At 35.1% G+C, this 12,178-nt stretch overlaps 1 protein-coding gene across 2 annotated transcripts in view, besides 2 other annotated features; it reads left to right on the top strand.

Moving 5' to 3' along the window:
- The window catches only part of DNAJC1 (DnaJ heat shock protein family (Hsp40) member C1), a 247,183-nt gene that overhangs the window by 190,800 nt on the left and 44,205 nt on the right, over positions 1–12,178 (top strand). Inside the window, exons 9-10 of one of the 2 annotated variants that reach the window (XM_011519614.4) lie at positions 6,832–6,951; positions 8,947–9,154. In XM_011519614.4, the coding sequence (XP_011517916.1) occupies positions 6,832–6,951; positions 8,947–9,033 (207 nt within the window). In that variant the 3' untranslated portion in view covers positions 9,034–9,154. Of the gene's footprint in view, positions 1–6,831; positions 6,952–8,946; positions 9,155–12,178 lie in introns of those variants that run through there. The other variant, NM_022365.4, reaches the window with a different exon arrangement.
- Positions 1,310–2,509: an enhancer, noted in NCBI's record as "P300/CBP strongly-dependent group 1 enhancer chr10:22099351-22100550 (GRCh37/hg19 assembly coordinates)". NCBI's record gives its function as "activates an origin of replication core promoter dependent on BRD2, BRD4, P300/CBP, MED14 and CDK7 cofactors, with strong dependence on P300/CBP, by STARR-seq in HCT116 cells {active_cell/tissue: HCT116}" and the evidence as "EXISTENCE:reporter gene assay evidence [ECO:0000049][PMID:35650434]".
- Positions 5,437–5,731: an enhancer, noted in NCBI's record as "tiled region #11860; K562 Activating DNase matched - State 1:Tss". NCBI's record gives its function as "activates a minimal TATA promoter and a strong SV40 promoter by Sharpr-MPRA in K562 cells {active_cell/tissue: K562}" and the evidence as "EXISTENCE:reporter gene assay evidence [ECO:0000049][PMID:27701403]".

Below are 12,178 nucleotides of genomic sequence, written 5' to 3'. Positions count from 1 at the left end.
GTGGAAGGAGACTGCACAAGGGCATTAATACTAGGAAGTGGGAATCACTGAGGAACACCTTGGAGGCTGACTTGTTATCACAATGGCTGTATAGTTAACACCATAGTTTGCTGAATAAAGAGTATATGGGAACTCTGTACTATTTTCTAAAACTTTCTATAAACCTAAAGCTATTTCAAAGTAAAAGTTAAAGAATTTTAAATGAAAATATAAGGTCCAGGAGTGGTGGCTCATGTCTGCGGAGGCCAAGGCGGGAGGATCACTTGAGCCCAGGATTTCAAGGCTGCATTGAGCCTTATTGTGCCACTGTGCTCCAGCCTGGGCAACAGAGCAAGGCTCTGTCTCTAAAAAGGAAAAAATCTATTAAAAAAGAAAATATAGATTATAGACCAGAAGAAAATATTTGGTAATACTTATATCTGACAAAGATCTAGTATCTACAAAATATAAAAAAATCTTAAAACTAATAAGAAGACAACCAATTAACAAATGGTCAAAAGACATGAACACGTACTTCAAGAAAGCATTCACTTGGCCAGTAAGCACATGTGAAGATATTCAAGATCATTTGTCTGGCTGGGCGCAGTGGCTCACACCTGTAATCCCAGCACTTTGGGAGGCTGAGGCAGGCAGATCACGAGGTCAGGAGTTCAAGACCAGCCTGGTCAACATGGTGAAACCCCGTCTCTACCAAAAATACAAAAATTAGCTGGGCGTGGTGGCGGGCACCTGTAATCCCAGTTACTCGGGAGGCTGAGGCAGGAGACTTGTTTGAATTTGGGAGGCAGAGGTTGCAGTGAGCCAAGATTGCACTGTTGCACTCTAGCCTGGGCAATAGGGTGAGACTCCATCTCAAAAAAAAAAAAAAAATCATTTGTCATCTGGGAAATGCAAATTATTACCACAGTAAGATATATTTCAGTCCCACCAGAATGGTCAAAATTAAAACAACTGACCATGTCAAGTGTTGGTAAGGATGTGGAACAACAAGAATGCTCATGCATTGCTGGGTAGACTGTAAAATAGCACCTCTTTGGAAAAATACTCCTGTAGTTTCTTACGAAGTTAGACGTACGTTTTCCCAATGACCTTAGCAATTCCACCCCTCTGTATTTATATGTGAGAAATTAAAACATGACCACTGAGAGAGTTTTACACAATATCCATAGCAGCTCTATTCATTCATAAACTAGCCTTATGAATGAAAGCTAGCAGCAACCCAAATATCCATTAATAGGAGAATGGATAGACAGATTGGGATACAGATCTTTCTTCTGATATGTGTTGAGAATATTTGCTGCTAGTTTGTGGTCTTCCTTTTCATTTTTAAAAATAGTTTCTTTAAAAGACTAAAAGTTTAATTTTGGCAAAATCCAAATATTTGTGGTTTTACCATTTCAAGTCATTACTTGCACACAACTCTCACACTGATAGGAGACTGCTAAATCCTCTGCAGTTAAGGAGTCTGTGGGAGACACGCAGGGGTGTCAGTTGTTTTGCAATTTGGACAGATTCCAGAACCTTTGCTTAAAAGGGGCCCCATTCAAGGTGAGTCATTTCGCAAGTAACAACATATATGGGCTTAATACAATTTGTAATGAGAAGTATGTTTCCTCCAGAACCCAAAAGAGCCTAAAAGAAACTGTGGGTGCTATGAGAGTCAATAGCTGTTTCTTGACAGTGTCATGGATGGAGTTGCCTTCAGTTTACCCAATAATGTTCAGAAATACAACCAAGGCCTTGCTCTGTGTGTAAGGCGGTGGGTCACCCCGTGAGCTCCTTTCATTTGTATGTCCCGAGTGAGTGTATCAAAGGAATCTCCTCAGCGGAGGAGGTCATCAGTGTGATGTCATACCTGCATTCCTGGGGAAAGTAGGGTGCAGTTTCAATCTTGCCCTCGAAGATTGTATGTTACAGTGAGGCTGTTTAAAGTACCCCGTGGTAGCTGGGTAAAACTGTATTGGGTCCCTTTGGAGGCAAACTGCAGTCAAGAGTGTTGAAATAGGCACTGAACAAAACATATTCACCAAATCTATAATACCAAAATATTTACCAGTTGCTGGTTAGATGAAGTCAGTAATTTCAGTTATATTGGGTATGGGTCCTTAGTGAAGTCCACAGCATTGAGGTTGAAGTAATCCACCAGGAGGCACCATACATTCCTCCCAAGTGGAAAAGCTGGTCAAATTGGGCTGTTAAATGGACAGGCAGTGGGGATAATCACCCCTTTTCTAAATAGGTCTTGTATAGTGGGTTTTAATCATTAAAGGCCCTGTTTTAATTTACATCTGGCTGTATTAACTGTTTTCATGGGGAAGCAGTACGTCCATGGGGTCCATTTTAAAAAGGCAATTTGTTAGTGCCAAAGACTTAAAATTAATTCATGACTCTTTGGGTCAGAGTGTCCATGACCACTATGGGATATTTTAGAACAATGGGTGTGATGACCATAGGGAATTAAGGCAAGACAGAATTCCTGTGGTTAGGGCGAGGCATGCATACTTGTCCTTTATATTATGTTCAATAACTCCCCTAAGATTATAGGGGGACCCTTGTTTAAATTTAGGAGGATCGCCAATATTGATTAAGGGCACAAAGGTTTGCCAATTGGTATATTTCAGTAGATGTTAATTCAGAGCCAGTGTCATAGAGGGACAAAAGCCAATTCCTGCCCTTTTATCTATGTATTGTATAAATTCAGTGAATTTTGAAAAACCAGTTGGGCCAAATTGTGGACTTCTGTTTTAGTTTTTGTTTTTTTGTGTCCTGCCTATTCTGAACGGAATTGTGTGCCCCCAAATTCACATGTTGAAGCCCTAACTCCCAATGTGACTGTATTTAAAGCTAGGGCCTGTAAGGAGATAATTAAGGCTAATGAAGTCGGAAGGGTGGGGCCCTAAATCGATAGTATTGGTATTCTTAAAAGAAGAGGAAGAGAGACAACAGACTCCCCCATTCCCCCCACCCCGCCACACACATACACACACACATGAAAGGCCATGTGAAGACTGAGCAAGAAGGCAGCCAACTGCAAGTCAGGAAGATAGGCCTCAAAAAAGAATTTCTCTTCCTAAGAGTAAAAAGACATTTGAGGTTATTTAGTTTTTAATTTTGTTGTTGTTTTTATACCATGTATTTATATATATTTGTCAAGGGCATGCCTCCATTTTTAAATAGGAAAGGAAAATTATATAGCTGAAAACTGTGCACTAAATTAAATGCACTAAAAGTGTTTATAGAACTTGAGGGTAAGAGATAATTAGATTATTAGACATCCAATCTCATCCCATCCCATCTAATACATATTAGATATATACATCTAATATGTGTATATATATCTAATAATGTGTTATGTATATCTAATGTGTTATGTATATCTAATAATATGTTATATTATTATGTATAATAATGTGTTATATATTAACTGGGCAATGCGATGTAAGAATGTTATTTTCTTGGATAAAATTTCTGAGAATTTATGAGTTGAGCTGAATCTAATAAAAATAGTTGAATCCAAAATTTTAGCTTCTGTATTTATATAAATAATTATTATTAATAGGTCATTTCAATAGAAGTATTGCTCATTAGAGAGTTTCAGTATCTATTTATTAGATAGAAATGAGCCTTTTGTCATTAAAGTATAAAAATACAATAAACAAGTACATTAAAAATTTTTTTTAATTTGGCCATAATTTTTAGTGCCAAATAAATTATATGATGCTTTCTAATTAACATTTTATAGTCCAAAGCTGTGAGAGGAAAAGTCCATATAGATTACTTTAAAAATACAGCCCTACCCCAAGAATATAGAGGATTTTCAGAGACACCAAATCTTTGAACATAGTGGGTTTTATGGCAAAAATCCATCCCAAAGGTACATGATTTGGGAATATAATTTAAGTTTTCATATCAGTTCTTACTTTGGTTGCTATATTTTGAGGTCATTACATTACAATATTTAATAATTTGAAAACTTTTTATTTTGTATTCAGTATGGAGATTTATTCCCAGAATGGGCTTTTCTGATGCAAAATTGGAGTGCTTGTATAGTCACAACAGCTGTCTCCACACCATGTGGTATCTTCCATTACTTTACTGTAGAGATGAATATTTGGCCCGGTGTTTCGGTAAGATTGGACACACATGGTTTTAAGTGGCAAAGCAGTATGCTTATGCATTCATTTGACTTTCACAGCTACAGTTGGCTCCAGATTAGAAGAGGGAGAGTACATTCACACCATGGCCACCCTCATGGCTGCTGTAGTAGCTGGATCACAGGAGGCTCTGTTGCTTCTAAAGACACAACTAACTATTGCCGAGGAATTACACATTCACCAAAGTGCCTTACAGCTGTAGGAGGGAGAATAATGCATTGCTAAAAGGGTTCTCTCAGATTTCAGATTATGGCCCTAGTCACTATCGAGCCTCTTTAAAAATATTAATAATAAAAATTATGGCCATAAAATAACTATGAAACTTAAGACTGTCATAGCAGTAGGTGATTTTTCAGGAATTCAATCCAAATACTTTATATAAAATTTTTATTTTTCAGAAAACTACTATGCTTTTACACACTCATTAATCTAATTAAAATCAGATTTGTTTTTAATGTCAATGTTTATGTATGCAGAGTATTTGGGAAGTTGATCTGTTAAAAATAGAAATTATTTTAAAGACTTAGTTTACTACCTGAAACAATGATTTATATTTTAGACATTGTAGACAATTTTTTTGCTCCAAAAATGTTAAAATAACATAGAAATTAGGTAATTTGATTTAGTGTGATTTCGTACATACTGTATGGTTTGATCAGTATATATCTTTATGCAATGATCAACTTCAAGCTCTTCATGACATGATCTTTTACTGTAAGCTTATTTAAATTCTGCCTAAAACTTAAGTCTTTTGCATTTCTGAAACCGATTGGTCTACTTATTAAAGCTTTTTAGCAATAAAACTATGATTTTGTTGAAAATCCAATTATATTTCTCTAAATTGTAGCTGAATAAGAATAATTCTTTTTTCCTTAAATAAAGACAAGGAGAAAGAAAAAACCCTCCGTGTAAATTTTTAAGTCATCTGATATGAAGAATTGGATTTCTGATATTCATTAAATATCAAAGAAATTCCGACCAGACCCAATGTGGGCTACCTTTTTATATAAGTGAATTTATGCATGTATTGTAGAGGCTGTACTGATGAATATGTTTGAGGCTTTCAGCTCTTAGTGGATACAAAATAGAATGATTGATAAAATCCTCCCTACTATTGGCTATTATTTACTGACTCTTAAGTGGCAGGTTGTATTTATGCCAATTTATCTGCTTCAGCGAACATTCTTGATAGCAGAACAAAGTGAATAAAAGTAGTTTGCTTTGCAAATGAATGCAAATGGGAGAGCCTTTCGGAAAGCCCTTTAACAGGGGCAATGCACTTTGATTATGAGTGAAGCTGCCATTTGGACATGGTGAAAAGAGCACGCTTGAACCATTGATTGGGGGAGACAGTAAAAAGTCAGGAAGGGCCCCGTTAAGCTTGCAGTGAGGCAGGCGGATGTCAGTGTGGTTAGAGCACAGTGGGAGAATGACAGGGAGGATTAGTGTCAGGGAGAAGCTTTGCTGTAGCTGTGGAGATAGTCCCTGGGGTCACTCACCTCTGACTGTTGTTCTGTGCTGATGGTTCTGTAATGCAAACTGCCTGATGTATGCCTGTTCATTATCGGAAATGGTGATTAGAAAAGGTATTTGCCTCAAAGGTTTCCTTCTTTCCCTCTTTCTTTTTCTTTATTCTTTCATTTTAATTAAAGGAAAATAAGGTAGGCTTCCTCAGTCTCTATGCTGGCTACTGGAGTATTGTTTAATACCAGAGTGCTTTATTGCCTCTGGTGGAGAATAGTTCAGTACTAAAGTGTAATGTGAAATAATTGTAACGTGGTTATTTGTTGTTTGATAATAATTTATTTCTCTGTGCTCACTTTGGGGTTTGACTACTGCTAGTGCTGAGAAAAATGCAGAGAATATGCTTGCTGTTAGACTTTTTGCATATGCGTGTTTATAATCTCTAAGGTATTTTTAAATTTAGTTTAATCATTTAGTCAAAGCTAAAAGTTGACCAAAATGAAATGGTCAAAATAAAATGAAATGCTGCTTTACATGGACTTGATGGTTTGAGTCTTGGCCACAAGAGTTTCTAATTTTATTTCTGTTCCGAAGTTTAAAAAAAAAAAAGAGTGACATTTGACAAGCTAAACTTCTTGAAAAAATATTATTTTAAAATTGAATATCGTTACATAGAATGATCATAAAGTGTCATTGCAGTTCTGATTTCAGACCAGTATATTTACTTGTTCACATTTCATTTATACTTGTAAGTTTTTTATTTTTATTTTTGCTTTCTTTAAAGTGTGTGTTTAAAAAAAAAAAGAGAGAGCCCTTTAATAGTAACTTTATGTGAGGCATTTATGAGCAGCACTGCATTTTATAGCAAGGATGCATTTCATAAGCTTTGAGAATGGTTTCTCATTTTAATTCAAAGCTGAATGGTCTTTTTTAAAAAATGTCTGCAAAACCTGGTTTTGCAATATTTATGCTTTCTTAGTTAGTATACGTAGGAAATGAAATAGGCTTCTAGAGCTTTGCATTCCAGTGTTAAATATGCAGCTCAAATCTTTATTGAAACTATTAGATACAATTTAGTATTGTTTTTTACAGAAAGCATATTGCCAATAATTTGCTTCACAGCAATTATCTCTCAATTATCTTTTTTTATTCTTCCAATTATCTTTTTATTTTCTCCCAATTATCTTTTTTTATTTTCTTTAATGTTTTGCAGGCACCTGAATGGACAGAAGAGGACCTCAGCCAACTGACAAGAAGTATGGTTAAGTTCCCAGGAGGGACTCCAGGTCGATGGGAAAAGATTGCCCACGAATTGGGTCGATCTGTGACAGATGTGAGTTCACTGAGATTTGCATTGTATAGAGAGAGAAACCAGAACAAGTCAGCTATGTAGAAGGCAGACATAGATGGGTTCCACAGTATCTTTGGGGAGGGGATACAACAATCCTTTTAGGACCTGAAAGTGAACCATTAATGCAATAAGTGAGAAGCAGATGTGAGCCAGTCCCCTGGTCCACAGTTAACAGCTGTGTGAGGAATTCTAGTGTTTAGAGACTTAAGCTACTGTAACCTAATCAAAGGAAAACAATGCCAGTTTTTATGTTTATAGTGACCCCTTTAACTGTGGAAAAAATAGTTCTCAAACTGATCAGAATTAGGAGGGTTGTATTTCAGCTGGATCTTTTTAACATTGAAGTACAGATTGCGATTGCTATTTAGACAGGTGGTTCTGATTAATTAAATGAGCAATATACCCATAATGCAAATGGTGTTGGCCTTTTTGTTTCAAGGATGATAGCAACAGTTCGTTTGATAAGTAGTTTAACCAGAAGAAACTGTGTGTGTGTGTGTGTGTGTGTGTGTGTGTGTGTGTCCATACGTAACATTTAAAAGATAAATTACTTACTTGGAAAGGTTTTGACTTAATGCTTTAGATGCTTTTATTGAGGAAATTTAGAGCAGAAAATTTTTTAGAAAGCACCTAGCACAGTGCCTGATGTGTAATATACTAAATACACAGTAAATGTTTAATTGAAATTGAGAAAAAATATTATTTTTATCAAATTGATATTTTCATGAGGGATAGTAAATATGCTTTACTAAATTTACTTTAAATAAATCCTATAGATCCAAAAATACTTAGAGGGTTACTGAAAGCAAAGATTTAAATTTCCCCTTCCATTCTGTTAGTATACCTTTAGGCCTTTTATAGTACTGATAGTTTTTTAAAACCTGCAAAATGATTACTGAACATGGCTACCAAAAGGAGCTTATAAATGCTGTAAGTTACTTTCAATAATAAACTTCCACTTTTTAGTTTAGAAAGAAACGTACAGAAATTATTACAGTTGCGCATCTCTAATCCGTCACGTTGGCGCTCAAGTTGCAGATTTTTGAGCAATTTCAGACTTTTGGATTAGGTATACTTGACCTGTACTGTCAAGTTTTGTATTGTTTTGTTTTGTTTTTGCAATGGACCTGCTTTGAGAATTTTAAATTATATATATGAATATTGTTACTACTGTATAGGTCATTTAAAAGACTACAATCTGGATTTTTATAAGACGTTTAGCAATATTTTTGCTTCAGAGTTGAAGTTTGATCATAGGGGAAAATAGCTGAAGTATTTTGTAACTTTTTTTTTTTTTTTTTGCTGTGTTTCATGAGTAGACTAGTTATCTTGAGTTACTAGAAAAGAACCATAAGGATAACTTTTCTTCAGCTAAACATGTTACTGGATGGTGTGTTTTATTATCTCGGTTTTAAGGTTGTTTGTAAAAGATAGGTTAATAATGACATATCAGTAAATATCTGACCAAATTAAAGACATTCCATGGTTTTTGATGTTTTAAGTACTATGACCTACTAATTACATAGCTGCTATTAATACAGTGATTATCAAAAGAAACTAAAATAATTTTTTAAAGTTATAAAACATTGGTTTAAAAAGGCCCTAAACTTTTAGTTCAATTGCTTAATGAAAAATAATAGTAATACTAATGTATTATCTCCTTTGAAGACTGCACCACATTTAACTTCTAAGATAATATTTCTATAAGGCTCTACATTTGATGCTAAAGGCAGATAGGAAACTGAGTAAAGCAATATTTTAATTTGTTGTCATTAAAACCTGGTAAATTTTTATCTGTATTTTTAAGAGGAGAAAGATGAAAATTTTTTAAATGCCAAGAATACACAGGATATAACCAACAAAGCCTCATAGATCCTAGTATATACTTAATTTACTAGAGTAGTCTTGGTGCTGTCAAAAGCATCTTTTTAAACTTTTGCAAATTCATCCCATATGTCTCCTTTTTTTCCTCCCTAGACTTACCCAAGGCAGAATGATTCCGTGTCTGCAATAGATATTTTTTCCCTTTATCATGGAAGTGGAAAACCTGACATTGTGAAGTGATTTTTTTTTTGTTTTTTGGGTTTTTTTTTTTTTTGGCCAAGTATTAGTTCTGTTTTCATAATAACAAAGGTACCTTGGAAATAAATATGTAATAAATCTAAACTTTTGTTGTACAAAAAAATGCCATTATAACTTTTCTTCTATGTCAATATATATATAGACCCACACTGCATTTTCATTCTGTAAGCATCATCTCCATGGCTGGACTATTCATTTCAATAACTCTCCTGTCCCCCAACACATGCATATGTCCACACACACACACACATACATACACACACACACACACACACACACACACACACACAGAAAATCACTCTGTAAAAGAGAACAGGTGTCTGTAGAATCAGTAACTCACAGGGATGACTTGTAAATTACATTGAAACAGCTAAAATGGTTCAGCTAGTATTGTTTCTCTAGTATAATGTTAAGTGAAAGTTAACCACACTTTAAAAAGACCACTTGTGCCTCCTTTTGGCTTATGGTGTTAATTAGATTTGTTTTCATTAAGTATTCGATTATGAAAAAGTAGCCAGGTTCAATTGAGTGTCATCAGAACCTCTGCATACTGACCTGATCACCTGCCTAGTTCTCCCTGGCTTTGCACAGCTGTTCTTTGACCGGGTTTCCTTGCCAAATTTGTAGCTTCAGGCTTAGTTCTCTTTCCTTCAAGAAACAATTGACCTTTTGGGAGAGAGGTGAGTGTGTGCCAGTGGTGGGATTTATGTGATTCTTTATTTGGGTTGTCGGATTACAGTTAAAAACCTTTTTATTCCTCAATTAAGAAAGAAATTAAGTATATTAATTGTCATAATTAGCAGAGTTAGATTGCTAAATTGTACTCTGGATAAACACAAGCAATATTTTTTTAAGCTTTTTAAAAAATTGACACCGAGTATATTTTAATTCAGATATACCTAATCTGTAAGGCCTACTTTATTATGGATTAAATATTTTAAATGTTGATATATGCCTTTCAGCAAATAATTTTGGTAATCACAAAGGACACTCAAATTGTAAAAATAACAGCGGAAACAAAAACTGTCTCGCATGTAAAACCAACTTTAACATGATGATTAACTGCAGGTTTCCTAAATTAAGGTCAGGGGGCCCCAGATTTCTTGCTTGTGAAGTAATACTATTCTTTTGCCTGAAAGGATGTAAACTGATTCTGCTTCTCTCCCTGGTCACTAATCTCTTGCATTCTGGTTGTGATAACAGACTGATAGGAGATTTTTCTGCCTCTTTGGAAAAGGCCCAGGTAGGCAGCAAAACAAAAGACAGGTGGCTAGATTTAAACAGGCTTTTATAATTAGCTTAGTGCCATAGTGTGAGGTAAGGGGTGTGTAGTTATATATGTAGCCCATTATGCAAGTGAAGAGGAGGAAGGAAAATCATAAAATTCCCAATTCATTTGTATAGCTCAACTGCAAGGAGATTCCTATTGGGGGAAATTTATATATTGTTATTATGCTGGTTTCAAAAACACGTAAGTGGACTGTTCCATGGAAAATAAGCATTATGGTTTATCAGTGAACTAAATATATAGTTATTATCTTGGCAAATATATTGTTATTACTTTTAGAGTCAGGCCAGCCCTACACAAAATTATAAACATGATAAGGACTGTCCTTTTGGTTTTTCTGCCTTCGTCCTCACTGCCGCTGTACCAGTTTCCTGCTACAGTAGTTCTCTTGGTCTGAGCCACATCTCATACTCCTCTCCCTTCCTTCTCTTACCCTCTCAACCTTACAACTTTTAAAGATATTTAAATTTTAGAAAACATGTGCAGGTTTGTTATACAGGTAAACTCGTGTCACAGGGGCTGGTTGTACAGATTATTTCATCACCCAGGTATTAAGCCTACTACCCAATAGTTATTTTTTCTGCTCCTCTCCCTCCTCCCACCCTCCAGGCCCCAGTGTCTGTTGTTTCCTTCTTTGTGTTCATGAGTTCTCATCATTTAGCTCCCGCTTACAAGTGAGAACATGTGGTATTTGGTTTTTTATTCCTGCGTTAGTTTGCTAAGGATAGTACCCTCTCCAGCTCCATTTATGTTCCCACAAAAGACATGAGCTCATTCTTTTTTGTGGCTGCATAGTATTCCGTGGTGTATATATAATCACATTTTCTTTATACTATCTATCATTAATGGGATTTCGGTTGATTCCATCCCTTTGCTGTTGTGAATAGTGCTGCTGTGAACATTCACGTGCATGTGTCTTTATGGTAGAATGATTTACATTCCTCTGGGTATATGTCCAGTAATAGGATTGCTGAGTCAAAGAAAGGGTAGTTCTGCTTTTAGCTCTTTGAGGAATCGCCATACTGCTTTCCACAATGGTTGAACTAATTTACACTCCTACCTACAGTGTATAATCATTTCCTTTTCTCTGCAACCTTGCCAGCATTTGTTATTTTTTGACTTTTTGGTAATAGCCATTCTGACTGGTGTGAGATGGTATCTCATTATGGTTTTGATTTGCATTTCTCTAATGATCAGTGATTGAGCTTTTTTTCATATCCTTGTTGGCTGCATGTATGTCTTCTTTTGAAAAGTGTCTCTTCATGTCCTTTGCCCACTTTTTCATGGGATTATTTAAGCTCCTTATAGATGCTGGATATTAGACCTTTGTCAGATGCAAATATTTTCTCCCATTCTGTAGCAAACCAACATTTATATTTTCAATTGCTTTGGTGATAATATTGATTATTCCATTATTCATTTTTGTAGTATTTTACGCTTTTCAAAACATTTAAATATACTTTTATTTGTTTTTTCATAATGACACAGTGAAGTAGATAGGCAACCATTATTTTTCCCTATTTTACAGCTGAGTAAACTGCTGTTAAGATATTTGTTCAAGGTGACACAGTTGTTAGTAGAACTGGGACAAGATCACATATTTTGATTCCATACTTATATGTTTTTACCTCTGGTTAATTCTGCTTTACTGATGTTTGTATGGAAAATACTTTAAATTTGTCTAGAGATTTATATCATTAACTCTTTTTTGATAAAACTCTATGTTCATAGCAAAAAGAAAACATCAAAGAATACACTTAAGCTAAATTTTTTTCTAATCAACCATAATTTTAAAGAGATCTCTGTGAACATTTCTGTGTAACATTGTATAAACAATGT

The sequence above is a fragment of the Homo sapiens genome, chromosome 10 (assembly GCF_000001405.40).
Source record: "Homo sapiens chromosome 10, GRCh38.p14 Primary Assembly".
In the NCBI taxonomy this organism is placed as follows: domain Eukaryota; kingdom Metazoa; phylum Chordata; class Mammalia; order Primates; family Hominidae; genus Homo; species Homo sapiens.
Note: the sequence above shows the minus strand (reverse complement) of the source record. Positions and strands in the feature narration are given on the sequence as shown.